The sequence below is a fragment of the Homo sapiens genome, chromosome 9, assembly GCF_000001405.40.
Source record: "Homo sapiens chromosome 9, GRCh38.p14 Primary Assembly".
NCBI lineage: Eukaryota > Metazoa > Chordata > Mammalia > Primates > Hominidae > Homo > Homo sapiens.
Genome location: NC_000009.12, coordinates 120,589,594 through 120,613,770, shown reverse-complemented (window position 1 = coordinate 120,613,770; position 24,177 = coordinate 120,589,594). Strand labels below are relative to the sequence as shown.

Genomic DNA, 24,177 nt, shown 5'->3' with positions numbered 1-24,177 from the left:
AATAGTAGTTCTGAGTGTCCCTTTGAATCTTCCTGGCCCCATAAGGAAGGAATGTAAATTATGTTACACTTTCTCATTTTGTATTTTCAAATGTTATGCTGCTTCCATGTCTGTAGAACATCCTTACTAATAGAGTGCCAAGGGAGTATTATTACAAAACCTAACTTTGTTTTGTTTTTTTCTTTTCTTTATTAATTGTTTTTATTTTTACTTTAAATTTTTAAATATATAAAGCTATGGAGAATAATATAACAAATATCCATGCACTCACACCCAGAATTATTAATAATAAAGATTAACATTTTGACATTTTGCTTCATATTTATATATATATGTATATAGTTACATCTTTGAAATAGAAAATTTCAATAAAGTTGAGGTCCTCTTTTCCTCCGTAGTCCTGTTTTACCCCCCTCCCTCCACAGAGACAAGCAGAGTGTAAAATTCCCCTATACCCTCGCAATCCACATTTTAATTTTTACCTCATGTTTATATCCATCTGGTTAGTGTACTCTGTATCCATTTGCTTAGTGCGCTTAGTGTGGTTTTTAAATTTTAATAAGTATTCTCTTTCTGTATGTGTTATTCCCCAATTTGCTTTTCAACCAACATTCTTTTTAAGATTTAGGCTGGGTGGCTAATCTAATGGCTCATGCCTGTAATCCCAAAACTTTGGGAGGCCAACGCAGGAGAATCACTGGAGGCTGAGAGTTCAGTATCAGCCTGGGCAACACAGTGAAATCCTGTCTCATAAAATAATTTAAAAATTAGCCGGGTGTAATGGCATGCTCCTGTAGTCCCAGCCACTTGGGAGGCCCCATCTCTAAAAAAAAAAAAAAAAAAAAGATTTGTGCATGTTCATGCATGTATGATTAGTTCATTTATGAAAATGCCACAATTTATCTATTCTTCTATTAATATGTATTTGGATTGTTTTTGTTTTCTCCTTGGCGTATAGTTGCTACTTTTGGTATGTAATCAGATTAACCAGCAAGGATTTATTGAGCCACTAATCTTGTATCCCACCTTTCCCTAAGGAGCTTACAATCTAGTAGGGGACACAATTCATAGACATGGCAGTATAGAAATCAGGTGGGGTAGAAATTAACTCTATCCAATCCCTATTAGTTTTTCTTTTTCTTATGATCTTTTTGTTGCAGGCATGATTTTTGAAAGTTACTTGGCTTTCAAGGTAAATCTTTAACTTTTAAAAATAATTTGCTTCTTTTAGGTGCTTGTTTAAACTGCCAGGAAAATAGCAAAGGAAATCACTGTGAAGAATGTAAAGAAGGATTTTATCAGAGTCCTGATGCCACTAAAGAATGTCTTCGCTGCCCTTGTTCAGCAGTGACATCTACAGGCAGCTGCTCTATAAGTAAGGCCTTTCTCTAACTTTTCATTTTAGAGGGAAAAAAAAATCAGTTATCAATAGGTATAAGTTGCATTGATGAATAAAGTTCTGGATGCTATAGGTGAAAGGGAGTTATAAAAACAGCAAAAGTTTTCCTTTCCAGGAATTTATAATCTAATCCAAATATATATATATGTGAATGAGACTTAAAGTGTCTAAAAACCTGCATAATGAGTTAATGCAGGAACTTCAAGACTGAGCAACTTTTGCTCACCTATTTCAAGGTAACATTTACTAATTAGTTCCTCCTAGATACCGAATAATGTTGACTAATTGCAATCTAATAAATATAGTTGACTCATTTAATCCTGATATATATATTAGTTATCTATTGCTAAATAACCTATTACCCTAAAATTTAGTGGCTTAAAACAGTAAGCATTCATTATTTCACATATTTTCTACTAGGACTTTCGAAGCAGCTTAGCTGGGTGGTGCTGGTTTGAATTTTTTCCTTTCTTTCTTTCTTTCTTTCTCTCTCTCTCTCTCTCTCTTTCTTCCTTCCTTCCTTCCTTCCTTCCTTCCTTTCTTTCTTTTCTTTTCTTTTCTTTCTTTCTTTCCTTTCTTTTCTCCCTGTCTGTTTAAATAATAGCTTTGTTGAGCTGTAATTCACATTTCATACAATTTAAGATGCAAAATTCAGTTTTTTTAGTACATAGTCTCAAAGTTTTGCAACCATGACCACAATCAATTTTAGAAGTTTTCATCACCTCCCCCAACAAAAGGACCTAAAAAACAATCCTATAATCATTAGCAATTACTCCCTTTTCCTCTGGCCTTAGGCAACCACTAACCTACTTTTTCTGCTCTATGGATTTGCCCATTCTGAACATTTCATACAAATGAAGTCATTCAATACATGGCCTTGTGTGTCTGGCTTTTTTCACTTAGCATAGTATTTTCAGTTCATTCATGTTATAACATGTCTCAGTACTTCATTCCTTTTTGTTACTAAATAATATATTATTGTGTTATACCCCATTTCATTGCTCTCTTCATCAATTGATAGACATTTGTGTTGTTTCCACTTTTTAGCTATTACAAATAATGCTGCTGTGAACATTTGTATACATGTTTTTGTATGTACATATATTTTCATTTATCTTCAGTGTATACCTAGGAGTGGAATTCCTGGGTCCTGTAGTAACTATGTTTATCCTCTTGAGGAGCTGTCAGACTGTTTTCCAAAATGAGTACACCATTTTGCATTCTCATTCTCACCAACCCTGTATGTAGGTTCCAAATTTTCCACAGCTTCACCAACACTTACTATCTGCCTTTGTATAATTATAGCCATCCTAGTAGATATGAAGTGGTATTCCACTGTGGTTTTAAGTTGCATGTTCCTGATGGCTAGTTATGTGCTTATTGTTCATTCATATATTTAGAGAAATGTCTGTTCAGATCCTTTGCACATTTAAAATTTGGATTATTTATCTTGTTATCATTGAGTTGAAATAATTCTTTATATATTCTAGATACAAGTCCCTTAACAGATATATGATTTATAAATATTTTTTCTATTTTGTGGTTTAATTTTTTGCTTTCTTGATGGTGACCTTCTTAGCAAGGCCCAATTCAAATGTTACCTGCTTCATGAAGACTTTTCTATACCTCCCAGTAGGAAATTATCCTGTCCCTCAAGCTCTCGTACTACAGTGCAATATCATGTATTTATGTATAGTGGATGCACCAAGAGGGAATAATTACTTTGCCTGGAGTGGGGGAATATCAGCAATGGCTTCAGAGAGGATGTGACATAAAAGCTGAGTCTCGTGATGGGAGTCTGCATTTAGCAGGTAGACAGGAGAAGGAAGGACATTTCAGATAAAAATATCAGTAGGAACAATGGTACAGAAATCTTAAAACAGCTTATTTGATCAAGAAACTACTTAAGAATGGCAGAAACAAAGTATAAGGCAGAAGGAGTGAAACATCAGGCAGCACATTGAATGTCATATTTGAGGTCCAGTTGGTCTGCCCATGACAGGCATGAAAGGCTTTCACAAACCTTAATTTCAGTCCTTCAGTCTATTTCATCAGGAATTCTTTAGATTATTGTTGCTATAGTTGTTGAAGTACAAAAATGCTGTAAAATATGGTACTGTTGTAAGCTGTAACTTCATTGAGAACAAGGAATATATGCCTTTTCACTAAGAATTTTTTTCCTGCATATTATTGTTTGCATGGGTTATGAATAATTCAGCTGCCACCTTTTATTGCTGAAAGTAACCTAAGTATTTCTGGTTTAATTCCTTTATTTGAAATATGGAAAGCTGAGGCCCAGAGTTTAGTAACTTACTTGAGATCACACTACCCACTAGGATTGTAAGTGGTAAGTTAGAATTCTTTATCAGTTGCACACTCTGGGAATATACTAAAACCATTGAATTGTATACTTTTAATGGTTGAATGTTACGGTATATAAATTATATCTCAAAGCCATTTTAAAAAGTAAAAGTGAAAGATGAAAGGAATTCGTTTTTCTTAAAGAGCATCAGAAATATGATTCATTGCCACAAGTTCCATGACCACTGTAAAGTATTCCTGCTATAATAACATTAGTCTGTGTTTAGATAACAGGGTGATCCTGTTAGTGTAATTATAATAGTAAATTCTAAGGAAAGAACTAATCTATCTAGCAGATTTAAAAGATGACTTGTTGATTATTAAAAATTATTTATTAAATATAATTAAGAATCCAGAATTGAAATCCTATGAAGAATAAAAAAGGAAACAGATAGGTATGAGTTGTTATGTTCCTACTGCCTAAAGTGAAATTACTCAGTAGATACATATTGAACACGTGCTATGTTTTAGGCACTGTGCTAAACATTGGCGATAAAGACAGAAAAATGTCAAATAGCTCATAGTTTAATGGGAGAAACACACAAGTAACTAGGTAATTACAATTTCAAATGACATGTGTTACAGTTAAGCATAGACTAACCCTATCCTAAACTGAGGGAATCAAGGAAAACTTCTGTGCTTCTGAGAAGAAGTAATACCTGAGTTAATTCCTACAGATTGAATTTGCTAACTGAACTAGAAAGAGAGACAAGAGGATGTCCCATGCAGAGAAAGTAGTATGTACAAAACCTCAGACAGAAGAAAGCAGGCAGTATTTGGGTATTTGGGAGTTCTTTTAAGCCATTTAATGTGCCTGAACCTTAGGGGGTGGTGGAGTGTGAAGTGAAGAGAGAAAAGTTGAGAGAAGTAGGCAGAGGTCAGATTATGAAAAGTACTAAAAATTCTATTACGTTTTCACTTAATCCTGAAGGAGTTAGGGAACCATTGAAGAGATTTCTCTAGAGAAGTAACATATTCTTATTTACTTTGAAGTTCAAAGTGAATGTAGGGGTGCATTGTGATAAAAAGAACCATGAGGAAGTAGCTACAATAATCTAGGTGAGAAATGATGAAGGCTTAATCTAAGATCACTCCAGTGGGAATGGAAAGAGACATCCGTGGATTGGAAAGACTTTAATCAGGTACAATTAATATGAATTGATAACTGCTTAGAAGGGACATATGGAGGAAGAGGATTGAGAGATGATTCTCAGTGTTTTGGCTTATGCAAGTGGGTAGATGTTGGTACCATTCACTGAGATCTAGGGAACATTGGAGGAAGACAGGACTCAGGAAGGGAAGATACTGAGGACAGTGTTGTACATGTTAAGTTTGAGATGTTTGTGGATCCAGGTGTACAGGAAGTTAGTATATAGTTTGGAATTTAGGACAGAGATGTAGACTAGAGATACACATACACATATTGGAATTGTTGATGATGTCAGTGGATGAGGCCACCCATGGAAAATGAGCAGAGAAGAGAAAGAAACCAAGAATAGAAGTCTGCAGAGTACCCACATTTAAGTTTGGGAGGGATGGAGGAAGTTTTTGTTAAAACAATATTTTATCCAATCTGTCATCTATAAAAAGAAGGGAATAACACAATTATGAGAGTGCCAACCCATCATAATCATTCAGACTCCTTATGTAAGCCTATTTATTTTGCTCTCTACATGAATAGGTTCTCTGGATGGCCCCATCATTCCTACAATAAGCTGGAAAATTAGTAAATAGATTATAGATTATTAGTTTAATTAATTAATAGAGATTATTATATGTCTCTAGAGAGGAGACAGTAGGGAAGGTTTATAAAAAACAAATTAGAAACAGGGTCTCATCATGTTGCCCAGGCTGGTCTCAAACTCCTGGGCTCAAGCGATCCTTCCACCTTGGCCTCCAAAGTTCTGGGATTATAAATCTTTTTAAGGACTAGTAGTTGTTTTGCATTTTTAATTGTAGCTTCAGACTGTACTAAACTATTTTGGCATTCTCTCTTTTAGAATCGAGTGAATTGGAACCTGAATGTGACCAGTGTAAAGATGGTTACATAGGCCCGAACTGCAATAAATGTGAAAATGGCTATTACAATTTTGACAGCATCTGTAGAAAGTGCCAATGTCACGGCCATGTGGACCCAGTTAAAACTCCAAAGATTTGTAAGCCCGAGAGTGGTGAGTGCATCAACTGCCTCCATAACACCACTGGGTTTTGGTGTGAGAACTGCCTAGAAGGTTATGTTCACGACCTCGAGGGAAATTGCATCAAGAAAGGTAAAACTTCACCTAAGTGATTGTAAATTTAATATCTAAAACTAGCAGTGAAAAATGGAAGGCTTTGTAAAACCTTCTAACCCTACCAGAGGAGTTTCTGGAAATAGATTTTGATAGATATTTGCCTAAAGAGGTTTCCTTCCATTCCTGCTGCTCTTCTGACACTCCACAGTCAACTCCAGAAATTTGAGGACCAAGACAAAGTCATTGCGACAGTGAGACAAAATGTTCTCACATTTTTCTCTTCATCTATTTTTATTTTTATGTTAATAATTTAAGAATCCTATCATTTCTTTTATTCTTTGCTTCCTTTATTCTCATCACTTTGAGGGATCATCAAAGGTCTTTTGAAGTAGGGACATCTAATCTGGTTAGAAGTTCCAGCTGAGAAGCTGGAGTTCATTCTAGCATCTGTCCTAACTTTGGGCCTAAGTTTCCCCATGTACAATGGAGGAAATAATAATATTCCTTTTGAATTTTAAAAGCAAAAGTTATCCACATGGCAAAATATTTCTTATAGGAAAGCTCAGTAATTAAAATTAATGATTATGAATTCAGGATGAGTTAGGATATTGAGGGTTTATTAGGTCACAGAGAGATTGGACCATGCTGTTCTACAAACCACTCTTTGATATTCTTAACATGCTGAACACGAGGCTGATGAACAGTTGGTCTATGGCAACTGTCATCTTTCTGCCATTTTCTTGATATCTTTATACTGTAGTGATCAAGGCAAAAAGATTCAGATTGAACCCTATTACTAGCTAGAGATCCTGCTACTCAGTTCTCTTACCTATTTGGGAGGCACACTTTGTCCATAGTTAGCTGACAGAACTGATGATTTTTCTTATTAGCTAATAGGTAATATATATAAACTTTGCCTCTTTTTAGAATAAATTGATATGGCTTTCATGGTGAAGAATTATAATAATAATAGTAATACTTTTATTGAGTACCTACTATATGCCAAGCACCGTAAGCATTAAATGTGATAATGCTGTGTAGTATATTATTTCATTTAATCCTTCCCAAGAACTCAGCAAAGTTGATGTTATTATTCACATTTTACAGATAAGGAAACCGAGCTTTAAAAAAATTTACTTATCTGTAGCCACACACTTCTATTTGATTCCAAAGCCTTTAGTCCTTCCACCAAACTATGCTGCCATTAGAAATACAAAGTATAATACCTAAATTATAAAGTAGCTGTAATCTACACAAAGGAAGAATTCCTACACATGGAATTAAGGAAAGCTGTTTTCTCTCTTGGCTGATGTCAGCCTCAGACATTTAAAATTTGTTTTTCAGACATAACTAGAGGTATAGTTTTCCCTACACCTCCTTTGCAGATAATTATTTTACCTTTATGAAATGCCATCAGACTTGTTAGACTTATTTTTGTTCAAATGATTGCCATATATCCCTGTTACTTTTAACTATGTGATTTAGAGCTCAGTAGTGACAAATTTACTGCCTTTGCAGGAATTTATATGATTTTATCTAAGAGTAAATAAGAATGGAAAACTCCAACACTGGTATTTTCCCAAAGATTTTTTTTTTTTTTTTTTTTGAGACAGAGTCTCGCTCTGTCACCGAGGCTGGAGTGCAGTGGCATGATCTCAGCTCACTGCAACCTCTGCCTCCCAGCTTCAAACAGTTCTCTGCCTCAGCCTCTCGAGTAGCTGGGATTACAGGCACCCGCCACCACGCCCAGCTAATTTTTTGTATTTTCAGTAGAGACAGGTTTCACCATCTTGGCCAGGCTGGTCTTGAACTCCTGACCTCGTGATCCACCACCCTCGGCCGCCCAAAGTGCTGGGATTACAGGTGTGAGCCACCACGCCCGGCCCAAAGATTTTAATGTAGATATTATACATATTGGAAAACAGCCATAGATGTAATAATCTAGCTTTCTAGACCCTGATTCTTACCCTTATCACTATATTTCTTTAAACATTATTTTTAACTTGCATTACCTTAAAGCAGAATATCATGTTAACATCCTACATCAACATTCACTCCCATGCGTATTTCTTTTATTGTTTCTCAAAACTAGATAATTTTGTCTTTTACATTTCATTCTCTGTTTTTATTTTCAGAAGTTATTCTTCCAACACCTGAAGGTTCTACCATTTTGGTTTCCAATGCCTCTTTGACCACATCAGTGCCCACCCCTGTTATAAATAGTACTTTTACCCCTACAACCCTGCAGACTATCTTTTCAGTAAGCACTTCTGAAAACAGCACTTCAGCTTTAGCTGATGTATCATGGACCCAATTTAACATCATCATTTTGACAGTCATCATCATTGTTGTGGTGCTGCTAATGGGATTTGTGGGGGCTGTATATATGTACCGCGAGTACCAAAACCGGAAACTCAATGCCCCCTTTTGGACCATCGAGCTGAAAGAAGACAATATCAGTTTCAGCAGCTACCATGACAGCATTCCCAATGCAGATGTTTCGGGATTGTTGGAAGATGATGGCAATGAAGTGGCTCCCAATGGGCAGCTGACCCTGACGACGCCCATACATAACTACAAAGCCTAAGGAGCTAGAACTGTTCTGAATTGTTAAACCACAGTGCTTGCTAAGACAGAGTCAGCCCCTGGGCCAGACAAAGCCTGGCTAGAGTTTGCTGAGAAAGCAAAGGCAAATAGTGCATCTGAAATTTTCAGGTACAAATTTGTAATGCGCTTAGCCTATCTATTGCTCTTAGTTTTCCCATGAAGATCTGAAGCGTTCACTGTCATTAGGACTTGAAGTAAAGTATATTTTTGTACCAAACCACATGGGAGTATGGAAAGGCTGAACCCCATAGTGCAGCCCAAAACCACTTTGACCTCCAGATAGACTCCTGGGGAAGCATTCACCAAGCCAGTGGTAACAAGATGATGAATGTGGAGGGGGAAAAGACTGCTGGAAGACTTCATCTCCATTCCTGAAACATTTTTTTTAAAACAGTGTCAGGGATTATATTCGTTTTACTATACAAAAGGACATCATTGAGGAAAAGCTTGTTTCTAGGCTGTATCACAGTAAATAATCTTGATTGTTTCTAGAACAGGGGTAGAAAAGTCCCAAGATCTTCAGAAGGGCTTGGTTTTTTCCTCCCAGGATTCTTGCTCAGTGATGAGTTGAAAGCACAGGATAAGCTTCTAAGGGAGGAAGGCAGCATTGGGGAGCAGGAGGCTGATGGTCCTCCTCAGGGTCTCAGTGTAAATGATAAATTGTCTAAAAATAAGGAATATTCCTGCCTCTAGAGAAATAAGGTGTACATAGTTAATGTAGCATATCTGGTCGACGTTGTATTTGTATCTATTTGTAAAAAAAAAATCATGTCATATTTTATCATCTGGAATTTATTTGTACAGCAGTTAATGGTGTTGTAAAAAGAAAAATATGGGGATTGCTTAAAATACTGTAAAATAGATGGCAATATTGCTAGAGCTGGGACTCTGGTGAGCATCCGTCATTTTTAGTCCTTCTTGAGGACATTGCTGAAATTTATAAGAGGTCGAATGTTTCTTTCTTTCCTTTCTCAGTCTAAAAGTAGAGTTATATGCTCTTTGACTTACTATGATTCAAGCAATAGATTTTGAAGTCAGTAATCGTTAAGCTGGGACATAGGATGCATTCTCCAAAAACATTAATCTAATTAGACATTAGCCACCCTATATATTTTACATAGATTAATATAAAACATATCCTCATTAAAAAATGTTTTTCTTGAATGTAAAAGATAGTCTTCCAAAGGATAGAAATATTTTAGTTCCAAGAGAAAAGCCATCATATTACTTGGGATCTGTAGTTTTCATGCCTATGAAATATTTATAATCCTCCCTCACCCCAAATAAAAAATCTCCTACATGTGAACATAGCCTGTCACTCATTTGCCATGAGGTATGTGCCATCTCCCTGCAGTGCTATAGTTCTCCCATTGTCTTCCTGTCTGGTTAATGAGCAGCTTTGTAGATGGGTGTGTCTAGTTAGTTCTTGCTTTTTGATGGAGTTTTTTCCTAGAGGCCAACTACTGTTGCTCTCGTTTATTATGATATTGACATTTTGGGTTAAGCAAGGTGGGTGGGAAAGGTGGTCAGATGTTAAATATAACTTATTAGGAGGAACAGTGAACTGTGAAGTGGTTAGAAAAAAAATAAAAACTTCTTATTAGATTAGACCTAGGAAATTCAAGCTGACCCCTTTGCCTAACTTCCCTAGAGAAAAACCTAGAACTTGGTCATCCCTTTATAGGAGACCCCTAAGTTGTTCTCAGGGTTTGGAGATGATGTTCTGGAGGGAGTACAAGCAAATAATCTACTTCTGGTAATCTGAGGGTGCTTTGCGTATTTGGCCATTGCTCAGAAGAATAGAGGTTACATTATATTACATTATATGAAAATTATTTAGTTTTTCTATAGCCCTTTGTAGTTTGCAAAGCACTTTTCCATATGTGTGTCCTCTCTTCCACACCATAGCCCCCTGAGGAAGTAATTGTTGTCCCCATTTTATAGATGAAAAGGCTGAGGCACAGAGGAGCTAAATATCTTGTTCAAGGCTATACAATGTGTGTGATTATTAGGCTTGGAATCAGGGCCTCTAACTCTAAAGCACATGTTTTTTCAACTATATGCAGAAATTGCCTAGCCATGGACACAAGAAAGCTGGGAGGAAGAGTTCTACTTGTGGATGTTTTTAATTTTTTTTAAATATCAGGAGCAATCCAGGGCCATACAGCTATGAAGCACTTAGTGAAAAGAACACAAGAAGATTTACTAACTGAAGTTAGTATTAGTGATTAGAAAACAAAACTGCCAGTTTGTGCTTCATTAAGGTGAACTCATCTCTCCAAGCAGGAAGGGAAAATTTGCTTTCCCTAGCAGTTGCTGCATATGTGTGTACAGACTGCACAATTCTAAGAAATTGTGCAAAATGGCATACCTGTCTTTCTCCCAGATACACCGCCCCCTGCCCCCCCCAAAAAAGGTCAGGATTAAAGGTGGTGAGAAGTGAACATTTATTAAACAGAAGTTAAACCAATAGAGAGAAAGGAGGTTTGTTGGAGTCTAAGAGGATTTTGACCATGTAGAAATTCCTTGAAACAGACCTTAAAAGGTATTGAAAAATTGAATCACAAAGAAAGTTTACCTTTAAATACTTGTTAATGGCTCCTAGATCATGGTTATAATTTTTCTCAATGGGAAAAAAAGTCTTAAAATTTGTTTTAAATAAGATCCTCTAATGTCTCGAGCTTTTTGATTCTGGAAATAATTTGCTTTAAAATATAAATCAATCAGAAAGTGATCTACCACTGAAATCATTCTAGGAAACTAGCATGGGATGCACTGCACAATGTTCTTTCCTCTAAAGGCATGGGCCCCATAAACTGTGGCATCTGGCAGCAGGATGCCATCAGTCCTTTAGAAAGCCTAATTTTGGGCCGGGTGCGGTGGCTCACGCCTGTAATCCCAGCACTTTGGGAGGCCGAGGCGGGTGGATCACAAGGTCAGGAGTTCGAGACCAGCCTGGTCAACATGGCGAAATCCCGTCTCTACTAAAAACACAAAAATTAGCCGGGTGTACGTGCCTGTAGTCTCAGCTACTTGGGAGGCTGAGGCAGGAGAATCACTTGAACCTGGGAGGCAGAGGTTACAGTGAGCCGAGATGGCGCCATTTCACTCCAGCCTGGGCGACAGAGCAAGACTCTGTCTCAAAAAAAAGGAAGAAAAAGAAAGCCTAATATTGGGAGAATGTTTGTGTAAGGATTGGAAATCTGTTTATTTTTAAATAAGATAGCACTGATGTGAATCTTATTTGGAAATTACAGATACTGCCATTAAGCGATGCTTTTATCTTCATTAATTCATTTTGGTAAGCGCCTATGCATTTCTGATGGTTAGGTGCCCTAGGTAGTGTTAAGTATGTCCGTGTCCTCCCTTACTCCCCTCTCGCTCCCTCTACCCTCTATCCCCTAGGGTTCTTTTATTAATGGAATTTCTCCAGTTATAGAGAAAAAAATGACATTTGAAAACTAAAGCTCATTTATATTAATACTAAGGTCCTGTGGGCCTAGTGCGTTACTCTTCCCAGTGATACCTAGATTTTAAGAGTAGAGAACAGAGGAAACATGGGATGAGAGGAGAGAGGTTTTTTAGACAACATTTGTAGACACCTCAAATTATATCACTGTTCTCTAGCGCCAATATTCCCAGGTAAATTGACCATTAAAGCAATACTCACTGACCTACTAGTTTATTTTGGTCAGCTGAGTACCATCAGGATATTTAACCCTTTAAGTGCTGTTTTGGGAGTAGAAAACTAAAGCAACAATACTTCCTCTTGACAGCTTTGATTGGAATGGGGTTATTAGATCATTCACCTTGGTCCTACACTTTTTAGGATGCTTGGTGAACATAACACCACTTATAATGAACATCCCTGGTTCCTATATTTTGGGCTATGTGGGTAGGAATTGTTACTTGTTACTGCAGCAGCAGCCCTAGAAAGTAAGCCCAGGGCTTCAGATCTAAGTTAGTCCAAAAGCTAAATGATTTAAAGTCAAGTTGTAATGCTAGGCATAAGCACTCTATAATACATTAAATTATAGGCCGAGCAATTAGGGAATGTTTCTGAAACATTAAACTTGTATTTATGTCACTAAAATTCTAACACAAACTTAAAAAATGTGTCTCATACATATGCTGTACTAGGCTTCATCATGCATTTCTAAATTTGTGTATGATTTGAATATATGAAAGAATTTATACAAGAGTGTTATTTAAAATTATTAAAAATAAATGTATATAATTTGTACCTATTGTAGATTTGTTGTTTACTTTTTTGTGTGGTCAGAGTTGTTTCATGTCTTCAAATACATGCCAAGGATCATTTACTTTCAGCCCACTTCATAAAAATCTTTGAACTCTTCATTTATTGGCCATGTATTTTGTTTAAGTTCATTTAAAGAATGTTTTCTACTTGGGGGGAAAAAAATCCATGAAGAAGATTCCCTCTCTTAGAGGAAAACAAAACCTGAGAAGAAAATATATTAACATATATTTTTGTTTGTGCTTTTGCCTATTCCCTCTGACATCCGTCGGATTTTATAGAGAAAACTTGCTCGCTTTGGATTTCTTTGTCACACATATAAAGAATTTCCTTTCTTTGGTAGAAATCTGAAGAGAAACCATATTCTACCTGTTTATTAAGTAACTTGTAATGAGAGTACATCTTTTTAATATTTTAAGCTACTCTTGAAGAACCTGTATTTTGACAAAGCTAGATGGTGTTTAATGGGATGCCATCTGAGAGATTCCTTTATTTGAAAAAAAAGAAAAAGTCAGGCATTTCTTTGTGCTGAGAGCTTTATAAACTTAAACTGTTTTATTCAACTTCAGTTGGTTAACATTTAAATTTTTAAACTCTATTTTTTCTTTTCTAGCCACACAAGAAAACAGGTTTTATCACTTTATAATAACACCTTATGTTTATACATGTGGTTCTGTGATGTATATGAATTGGGTATTAAGGGAAAAGAATAAGCATGGCAGAAATCTAAACAAATTACAGTTTCAAGAGAAAGTATATATATACAAACAAGTAAGGACATTTGCGAGGTTGCATTATCAAAACTGGTTGTATTCATTTTCCATAGGAGTATAAAACATCTATGTTTTAAAAAAATTCCACATGCTCCATTATAATTAAGTCAGTAACTTCAAAGTAACAGTGTGCTTACTTATATTTTAAAAGTTAAGCTGAATTGGCCGGGCGCGGTGGCTCACGCTTGTAATCCCAGCACTTTGGGAGGCCGATGCGGGTGGATCACGAGGTCAGGAGATCGAGACCATCCTGGCTAACACGGTGAAACCCCGTCTCTACTAAAAATACAAAAAAATTAGCCGGGCGTGGTGGTGGGCGCCTGTAGTCCCAGCTACTCGGGAGGCTGAGGCAGGAGAATGGCGTGAACCCGGGAGGCAGAGCTTGCAGTGAGCCGAGATTGCGCCACTGCACTCCCGCCTCGGCCACAGAGCGAGACTTCGTCTCAAAAAAAAAAAAAAAAGTTAAGCTGAATTAAAAACGTTTTTCATGAGATGATAGCATTAGGAGTGTTGACAGGCTGAAAATCAACATTCTATCTAAATCAATGTTAAAATTGCAGTTTTACCTATAAGTTAGTCTTTCAAGGCAATTTTATGAGGAATTATTGTAGTAATTGTACAGGCTTTCTAGTACTTCCGTGTACAAAATGAAAGCCATCAGACAATGTTAAATTTACAATGTGCTGCTTGTTTGTATTAATAATAAGTAGATTTTAAACCTTGTCTGTTGAATGGAACACTGCACTTCAAACAGTTGCAAAAGAAAACAGGCAAAATGTTTTCTTTGTATGTAATAAGAGTAGGTTTGGGTAATAAAAGAAGTATTTGGGAGGAAATCTTCTTTTGTGGTTTCCTTTGTGTTGTTAGACAAACTGCTGAAATTGTATATGTCAGTATTGGTTCTTTCAATCTTTGACCCAAAGAAGGAAAAGTCTCAGCTCTTGCCACGTTAATTACTATTCCAATTCAACCATGTTAAACTCATACAATTTCCTACATATGCCAGGTTATATGATGTCTTCCTCCTTTGCTGGTACTGTTTCCCCTACCTATAATATCCTTGAGAATGCTCATTCATTCTTTGCAAACCTTTGATAAAGGAAAGTTGATCAATTCTTAAATTTGTACCTCCATTTTGCCTAATGAATACTTCTACTACTGCATATATTTTATTATAAATACTTGTTAGTTTGTGCCTTCCCCAGTGAACTCTGTATTCCTTGAAATTAGGAGCGTTTATTCTTCTGCCTCTGGCATCTGGCATGTTGCTGGTACATTGTGGGTGCTCAGTAAGTGATGGTTTATGTACAAAAGGTAGTTGACAATACAAGAGTTGGTATGTGAACTTATTTGTTGAAGTATGGCAACAAAACTTCTATTCAGTGGATACGATAATATTTCTTATTCAAGAGAGGTGTCAATTTTACATAGGCTTCAGAGGTTCTGAGAAACCCTTGAAATTTCATGCCGTTTTGTTTATTGATGCAATTGTGTTTCTTTTTTTCTGGAGAGAAGACCCATACTTTAATCATTGTCTCAAAAGGATCCATGATCGGCCCGGCACAGTGGCTCATGCCTGTAATCCCAGCATTTTGGGAGACCGAGATGGGTGGATCACCTGAGGTCAGGAGTTCGAGACCAGCCTGGCCAACATGGTGAAACCCCATCTCTACTAAAATACAAAATTAAGCCAGGCATGGTGGCGGGTGCCTGTGATCTCACTTACTCAGGGGGCTGAGGCAGGAAAATTGCTTGAACCTGGGAGGCGGAGTTTGCAGTGAGCCGAGTTTGTGCCAGTGCACTCCAGCCTGGGTGACAGAGCAAGACTCTGTCTCCAAAAAAAAAAAAAAAAAAAAAAAAAAGATACATGATCCCCAAAGGATAAACAACTAATTGAAGGATTATTACTTCATTTTTCAGCAATCAAAATCCTCCCACTGAATGCAAATTGGCACAATTGGTAAATTGGTCTTTATTTCAGGAAGTCCACTTCTAGGAAATCTTCATAAGGAAATGACCTAAAAAGCAGAGGCTCCACAAAATTTTTTTTCAGACTGGTGTATAAAGTTTCAAAACTTGGGAATAAATTCTAGATGTTCAAGAACAGAGATGTAGCCTGGCACGGTGGCTCACACCTGTAATCCCAGTACTTTGGGAGGCTGAGGCAGGTGGATCACTTGAGGTCAGGAGTTCGAGACTAGCCTGACCAACATGGCGAAACCCCGTCTCTACTAAAAATACAAAAATTAGCCAGGTCTGGTGGCGCATGCTTGTAATCCCAGCTACTTGGGAGGCTGAGGCAGAATGGCTTGAACCTGGGAGGTGGAGGTTGCAGTGAGCCGAGATCATGCCATTGCACTCCAGCCTGGGAGACAGAGTGAGACGCCTTCTCAAAAAAAAAAAAAAAAAAGAATAGAGATGTAGTTTAGTGCATATACTTCATGAGATAACATACAGTCACTAAGAGGGATTAGGGAGAATTATTAAAAACTGAATCAAAGTTAAATGAAGAAAAATGGTTTGTTTTGAAGATGTGCATGTAATTTCACTCCTGGTATATAGTTTAGAGAAACTCATATATGTGCACCAGAAGCTGCATTTCAAATTCTTCACTGCAGCATTATTTATTATAGCAAAATAATTGGAAACAGTCCAAATGTCTGTCAGTAGAAGAACTGTGGTCTATCCATATACTTTGAACAGAATTTTATGCAGCCGTGGAAAATGAATGAATTACAGCTATATACATCAATGTGGATGAATCACAAAAACAATGTTGAGCAAAAAAAAGTAAGTCATAGAGGCCAAGTATGTAATCCCAGCACTTTGGGAGGCCGAGGTGGGCAGATCACTTGAGGTAAGGAGTTCGAGACCAGCCTGGCCAACATGGTGAAACCCCATCTCTACTAAAAATACCAAAATTAGCCAGGCGTGGTGGCAGGCACCTGCAATCCCGGCTACTCGGGAGGCTGAGGCAGGAGAATCGCTTGAACCTGGAAGGCAGAGGTTGCAGTGAGCCGAGATCATGCCACTGCACTCCAGCCTGGGTGACAGAGTGAGACTCTGTCTCAAAAAAAAAAGAAAAATTAGCACTTTGAACTGAATGAAAATGAAACAACATTTCAAAATTGTGGAATGCAGCTAAAGCAGTATTTAGAGAAAAGCTCAGAATGTCTATATTACAAAAAAGACTTCAAATTAATGACGTAAGCTTCTATCTTAAAAAGCTAGAAAACGAAGAGCAAAATAAACCCAAAGTATGCAGTTAGGAAATAACAAAGACAAGAGCAAAAATAAAATAGAAAACATAAAATGAAAAACAGAGCTAAAAGCTAGATCTTTGAGAAATTCAATAAAATTTATAGACTTCCAGACAGATAGATAATCAGAAAAATTAAGAAAACACACACACACACACACACACACACACAAAAACAGTACCAGGAATGAGAGAGGGGAAATCACTATACATCCCATAAACATTAAAAGGATAATAAAGGGGCCAGGCATGGTGGCTCATGCCTGTAATCCCAGCACGTTGGGTGACCGAGGTGGGGGGATCACTTGAGGTCAGCAGTTTGAGAGACCAGCCTGGCCAACATGGTGAAACTCCGACTCTCCTAAAAAAATACAAAAATTAGCTAGGCATAGCACCTGTAGTTCCAGCTAAACGAGAGGCTGAGGAATGAGAATTCGCTTGAACCTGGGTGGCCGAGGTTGCAGTGAGCCGAGATTGCTCCACTTCACTCCAGTCTGGGTGACAGAACAGAGCAAGACCCCGTCTAAAAAAAAGGATAATAAAGGAAGTTTATGCCAACAAATTTGATGACTTACGTGAAATGTACATATTCCTTCAAAGACACAAACCATGCTCACTCAAAAAGAAATAGATAACCTAAGTAGTCATGTTACCTTTATTTAATTTAATTTGTAGTTAAAAACTATTTGTTTGTTTATTTATTTATTTTTGAGATGGAGTCTTGCTCTGTCGCCCAGGCTGGAGTGCAATGGTGCGATCTCAGCTCCCTGCAACCTCTGCCTCCTGGGTTCAAGCAATTCTCCTGCCTCAGCCTCCCAAGTAGTAGGATTACAGGTGCGCGCCACAGTGCCTGGCTAATTTTTGTATTTTTTGTAGTAGAGACGGGGTTTCACCACGCTTGCCAGGCTAGTCTCGAACTCCTGACCTCGTAATCTGCCCGCCTTGGCCTACCAAAGTGTTGGGATTACAGTCATGAGCCACACCGTACCTGGCCTGTAGTTAAAAACCTTTCACAGGCTATGTGTAGTGGCTCACACTGTAATACCAGCACACTGAGAGGCCAAGGCAAGAGGACTGCTTGAGCCCAGGAGTTTGAGGCCAGCCTGGGCAACAAAGTGAGACCCCGTCTGTACAAAAAAAAAAAGAAAGAAAGAAAAAAAGAAAAATTAGCCATGTGTGCTGGTATATGCCTGTAGTCCCAGCTATTTGGGAAGTTGAGGTGGGAGGATCACTTGAGCCCAGCATTTTGAGGCTGCAGTGAGCCGAGGCTGCACCACTGCACTCTATCCTGGGCAACACAGTGAGACCCTGTCTCCGAATAAACAAAAAACAAACCTTTCACAAAGAAAACTCCAGGTCCAGATAGCTTCACTGGTGAACTCTAGAAATATTTAAAGAAATATTACCAATTCTACACAAACCCTTCCAGAAAAACTAAAGAAGCAATATTTGTCAACTCATTCTATGAAACCAGCATTACCCAAATAAAAAAAGAAGACATAACAAGAAAACAACAGACCAATGTCTCTCATGAATATAGAGAGAAACATTTCTAAGAAAATTCAAGCAAATTTAAGTACAACAATACACTTTAAAAAACAGTACTTCAAGGCTGGGCGTGGTGGCTTCTGCCTGTAATCTTAGCACTTTGGGAGGCCAAGGCGGGCGGATCACCCGAGGTCAGGACTTCGAGACCAGCCTGGCCAACATGGCAAAACCCCGTCTCTACTACAAAAAATACAAAAATTAGCCAGGCGTGGTGGCGCATGCCTGTAATCCCAGCTATGTGGGAGGCTGAGGCAGGAGAATTGCTTGAACCCAGGGGGTGGAGGTTGCACCACTGCACTCCAGCCTGGGTGACAGAGCAAGACTCTGACTCACACACACACACACACGCACAAATAGTACTTCATTACCAACTGGGGTTTATCACATAAATGTAAGTTTGGTATAACATTTAAAAATCAATCAGTGTAATTCACAAAGGCTGAGAAAGAAAAATAATATGATGATTACTTCAATAGCTGTACAAAAGGCATTTGGCAAAATCCAATATTCATTCATGATAAAAATGATGATGATGATGATACTCTCTTGTGTATTGTGATATAATAAGAAATATAGGCTGGGCACAGTGGCTCACGCCTGTAATCCCAGCACTTTGGGAGGCCGAGGTGGGTGGATCACTTGCGGTCAGGAGTTTGAGACCAGCATGGCCCAACATGGCGAAACCCTGTCTCCACTAAAAATACAAAAAAAATGGCCTGGCATGGTGGTGAATGCCTGTGATCCCAGCTACTTGGGAGGCTGAGGCAGGAGAATCATTTGAACCCAGGAGATGGAGGCTGCAGTGAGCTGAGATTGCGCCACTGCACTCTAGCCTGGGCAACAGAGCGAAACCCTGTCTCAAAAAAAAAAAAAAAAGAAATATATATTTGGGTCTTTGTCTAGCTCCCAGCTTTTGTGCAAGTTTCTAAATGATAAGAGCTGTAGTAGCATCTTAAGTTATATTTGGTTTTTGCCCCTGGCTCTTGTAATAGGTCCAGGGTGATAAAGGTGAAAGGAACAACTTTTGTTACTTATCATAAGTCCCTGTTGACCACACCTGAGTTATTGAAGTGACTTTGGAAAAGCCCCTCAAGATGAGGGTGCTGGTTGCCAGAGGAATCAACTGTATGTTTGGAAGATTGAAACGTTTAGCCCAGGAGGTTTTTTCTTTTGTTTGTTTATAGAGAGGTTCTCACTCTGTTGCCCAGGCAGGAGTGCAATGGTGTGACCTTGGCTCACTGCAGCCTTGACCTCCCAGGCACAAGTGTTCCTCCCGCCTCAGCTTCCTGAGTAGCTGGGATTACAAGTGGATGGACTATAAGTGGACACCAGTACACCCAAATAATTTTTATTTTTTTTTAGAGACAGAGTCTTGCTATGCTGCTAGGGCTGGTCTTGAACTCCTGAGCTCAAGCAATCCTCCTGCCTTGGCCTCCCAAACTGCTGGGATTATAGGCATGAGCCACTGTGCCCAGCTAAGGCCAGAAGGTCCAGGCTGCAGTAAGTCATTATCTTGTCACTGCATTCCAGCCTGGGCAACAGAGTGAGGCCCTGTCTCTCTCTCTCTCACACACACATACACACACAGACACACACACACACCCCTCACTATATGTTAGTAAATGAATAAGTGAATCAGCCGTATCACAGTTTCTACACTCATAAGTACAATAAAGGTGTGTAAGTATACTGCAGTCTGCAGGCTTTGAATTAGTGCAAACTTAAACCAAAATCCCAATAAACTGTTATTTTGGAAAGCATCAAGTCACTTGTAAGTAGGGATGTTTGTGAGTGACCCTGGGAACATACAGCACAAAATTCCCTTCGATGGAATGGTGCTGATGAAGCTCATTCCTTCGGTGTAGAGAGAGATCACGCCCACAGACCTGACTGCATGTCCTCAAACACTGCGGCCTGTGCTGACTGAGTAGGAAGCAAACATAGTCCAATATATGGATGCTTTTGGTGTCCTCCCCTTCCTGCCTTTACTTTTACTCCAGAACCAACAGGCTTCATCTCAGCTTTTTAATTTCCCCAAAACATTTTCTAAATGAGCCATTGTTATCTTTAATCACCATGGCTAGGGGGGATTATCCAGCCTCGTTTGAAGAAGCTATTTTTTGCAAAGAGATGAGATCCTTCCAGACAAGGATAAAGACATTAATGTTGTCTATTAAGATTCTGCTTTACTCAAGATAATAATTTTAGGGTAAATTAAGGAAATTGTATAGACGCCAATGGGCCATTAATCCCCAGTGGAATTGTCTGAAATGGAGAGGCCTTTAAATTTGGAAACAAGGAATTTGGCAACAGTTACATTTTGAATTTCCTTCAGTTAAAATGAAAAGGTTTCAATGTTAACAGGTACTGTCCTGGGTAAAGAATTTTATTTAGTTACAATCTGTATCTCAACTTTTTGTATTAAAAGGTAGAGATCATTAAACCTTTGAATTAAGAGTTAAAGTATCAGTTAAGTATACTAAGGAGGAAGCAGAAACATACCAGAAAACCTAGGCTAAAGGCTAAGTTAGCAAATGGCACCCAGTTGAGCTATGAGCTGCCCAACAAACAGCAACATAGATTATTTACCTGTATTACTGTCTAATTAAAAGGTGCATACTGGAACATCAACATAAAATCTATTTTTCTTGGTTCTAAAAGATAATAGCTTATGGTACAAAAAGCATCAGCTTTGAAAGTGATATGGACAGGAGACAGGGAAATACTGAGTAGAAGAGAGCGGTCCCCGGCAAAGGCCCCACCCTCAAGCCTGGAGACCTGCAGCCCTAAGTGGGAACAGGCATTTCTGTTTTCGTGCCCAAAAAGTTGCCTTTTTGCCCACCACACCCCCTATCTTGTACCCATATAAACCCCGAACTCCAGGCTCCGGAAGCAGACAAGCAGGGGAGGAGATGAGATAGGCAGAGGAACTGCGGAATGATGCAACAGAGAAAGAGAGACGAAGAGGAACATCTGAATGCCCAGAGGAGTTTGGCTGGGGGTGGTCAGAGAGGAGTTCGGCCACTGGATGGGCAGGCTCCAGGGGAATATCATCTTCCTATTCCATTCCCCCTTCCAGCTCCCCATCCATCCCTCTAAAAACCACCTCCACCACTCAATAAAACCCCACATTCATCCTTCAAGCCCATGTGTGACCCGATTCTTCCAGGATGCTAGGCAAGAGCTCACAATACAGAAAGCTATCACACTGGCCCTCTGCCCTTATGAAAAGGCAGAGGGTCCATTGAGCGGTTTAACACTCAAGCCGTCTACAGATAGGAGGGCTAAAAGGGCACACTGTAACACATGCCCACTTGGGTTCCTGCAACTGCCTGTCTGTGTGTTCCCCCTTCCCTCGGGGGTTTGAGCAGTGGCAGTGACAGGCAAGCCACACTTGCCTTCACACGTCCTGTGAGAGGGATTGGGGAACCCTCCCATTTCAAAAGCAGAGAGATATGGGTTCTAGTGCAGGCCTCACAACTGTAGGATCTGGGGCAACTTAACAGATGGCTCTTCGTCTTGTCGCCATTACCTATAAAAGTAATAACTTTTTAGTTATCACTAAACATGGGGTTTCGCCATGTCGCTCAGGCTGGTCTTGATGCTGACCTCTTAGGGTTGCAGCAAGGTTAAGTGAAAACCTTATGTGGAGCATCGCAGCACATGCAAGGTCTATAATGAATAGTTCGCTTCCTCTCTCCCTATTATTTAAGAGGTCTTTAGGCTGGGTGCGGTGGCTCATGCCTGTAATCCCAGCATTTTGGGAGGCCGAGGCAGGTGGATCACAAGGTCAGGAGTTCAAGACCAGCCTGGCCAAGATGGTGAAACCCTGTCTCTACTGAAAATACAAAAATGAGCCGGGTGTGCTGATAATGCGCCTGTAATCCCAGCTACCCGGGAGGCTGAGGCAGGAGAATCGCTTGAACCCGGGAGGCAGAGGTTGCAGTGAGCCGAGATCGTGCCATTGCACTCCAGCCTGAGTGACAAGAGAGAAACTCCGTCTAAAAAAAAAAAAAGAGGTTTTAAATAAAAACTTTACAAAAAATGCAATGTTTTTCTATCTCTAGTGAGTGGATAATTGGATCAGGTACCAGCTAGTTTGCTTCCTGACTAGAAAACCAATCTACAGCCCAGTATTTGAGTAAGGCTACTCTTGGGTTTTGGGTATACTTAAATGAAATGAGACACCTCCCTAAGTTGAATTGCTGCTGTTTCTGTGTTTTCAGTGAGTGGTCTGTGGCCAGGACGGCATCCACAGGAGGCTGAAAGAAGCAAAGTGACATGTTGTTGGCATTCTATGGTTCCACAGGGATCCATGAAGAAACGCCATATTTGCCTATGGGAAATGGGTGGGAAACTGGTATTGTGAAGCGAGGAGAGCACAGGCCTGGAAGTCTGCCCATTTTGGGTCTATTCTTGCTCTGTTATGCACTTGTAGAGTGAACTTGGGCAGGCCGCTGAATCCATCTGGATCTCAGTTTTTCCACTGGTAAATCCAAGAAGTTTCGTTAAATGTTCTCTGTGAGGACCTTTTTAATTCTTGTATTCTATTCAGTGGGAAGATAAGGGTGTTCAGAGTAAGATAATTAATTCTGGTTAAGATTTATTAATTCATTCTTTCCTCAATATTTATTAAACACCTATTATCTGCCAGGCACTATAAGAGACCAGAGGGTATAGAGTTAAAAGTTCTTGCTCTCCAGAGTAGCCAGACACAAGAGTATGCACTGTATGATTCCAGTCCTAAGAAACTGTTGAAAGACAAATCTTGGCTGGGCATGGTGGCTCATGCTCGTAATCCTAGTACTTTGGGAGGCTGAGACTGGAGAGTAGCTTGAGTCCAGGAGTTTGAGACCAGCCTGGGTGACATGGCGAAATACTATCCGTACAAAAAATACTAAAATTGGCTGGGTGTGGTGGCATGTGCCTGTAGTACCAGCCACTCGGGAGGCTGAGGCGGGAAGATCGCTGGAGCCCAGGAGGTCGAGGCTGCAGTGAGCTGTGATTGCACCACTGCACTCTAGCCTGGGCGACAGAGGGAGACCCCGTCTCAAAACAAAAACAAAAAAACAAAAAACAAAGGAAAGAAAGAAAAAACAATTTTTTTTGTTGTTTTGATACAGCATCTCACTCTGTTGCCCAGGCTGGATGGAGTGCAGTGGCGTGATCTCAGCTCACTGCAACCTCTGCCTCCCAGGTTCAAAGGATCCTCCTGCCTCAGCTTCCCCAGTAGCTAGGACTACAGGTATGTGCCATTATGCCCAGCTGATTTTTGTATTTTTAGTAGAGATGGGGTTTCGCCATGTCACCCGGGCTGGTCTTGAATTCCTGACCTCACGTGATCTACCCGCCTTGGCCTCCGAAAGTGCTGGGATTACAGGCATGAGCCATCGCGGCCACCTCATGCCCCACTAATTTTTAATTTTTTCTTTGTGGAGATGAGGACTCCCTATATTGAGTAGGCTGGTCTCGAACTCCTGGGCTTCAGCAATCCTCCTGCTTTGGCCTCCCAAAGTTTTGGTATTATAGGTCAGAGCCACCATGACCAGCCCAAAAAGACAAATCTTTAATGAGGAAAAATAGAACAGTGAGGCCGGGTGTGGTGGCTCATGCCTGTAATCCAAGCACTTTGGGAGGCTGAGGTAGGTGGATCACCTGAGGTCAGGAGTTTGAGACGAGCTTGGCCAACGTGGTGAAACCCTGTCTCTACTAAAAAATACAAAAATCAGCTGGGCGTG

The 24,177-nt window shown here is 39.4% G+C and overlaps 1 protein-coding gene across 1 annotated transcript in view; it reads left to right on the top strand.

Annotated features, from left to right (window-relative positions):
• The window catches only part of MEGF9 (multiple EGF like domains 9), a 113,660-nt gene extending 100,700 nt beyond the window's left edge, over positions 1 to 12,960 (top strand). The window contains exons 4-6 of the mRNA NM_001080497.3: positions 1,232 to 1,375; positions 5,761 to 6,030; positions 8,130 to 12,960. Of these exons, the coding sequence (NP_001073966.2) occupies positions 1,232 to 1,375; positions 5,761 to 6,030; positions 8,130 to 8,581 (866 nt within the window). The 3' untranslated portion in view covers positions 8,582 to 12,960. The remainder of the gene's footprint in view (positions 1 to 1,231; positions 1,376 to 5,760; positions 6,031 to 8,129) is intronic.
• Positions 12,961 to 24,177: the final 11,217 nt, after the last annotated feature.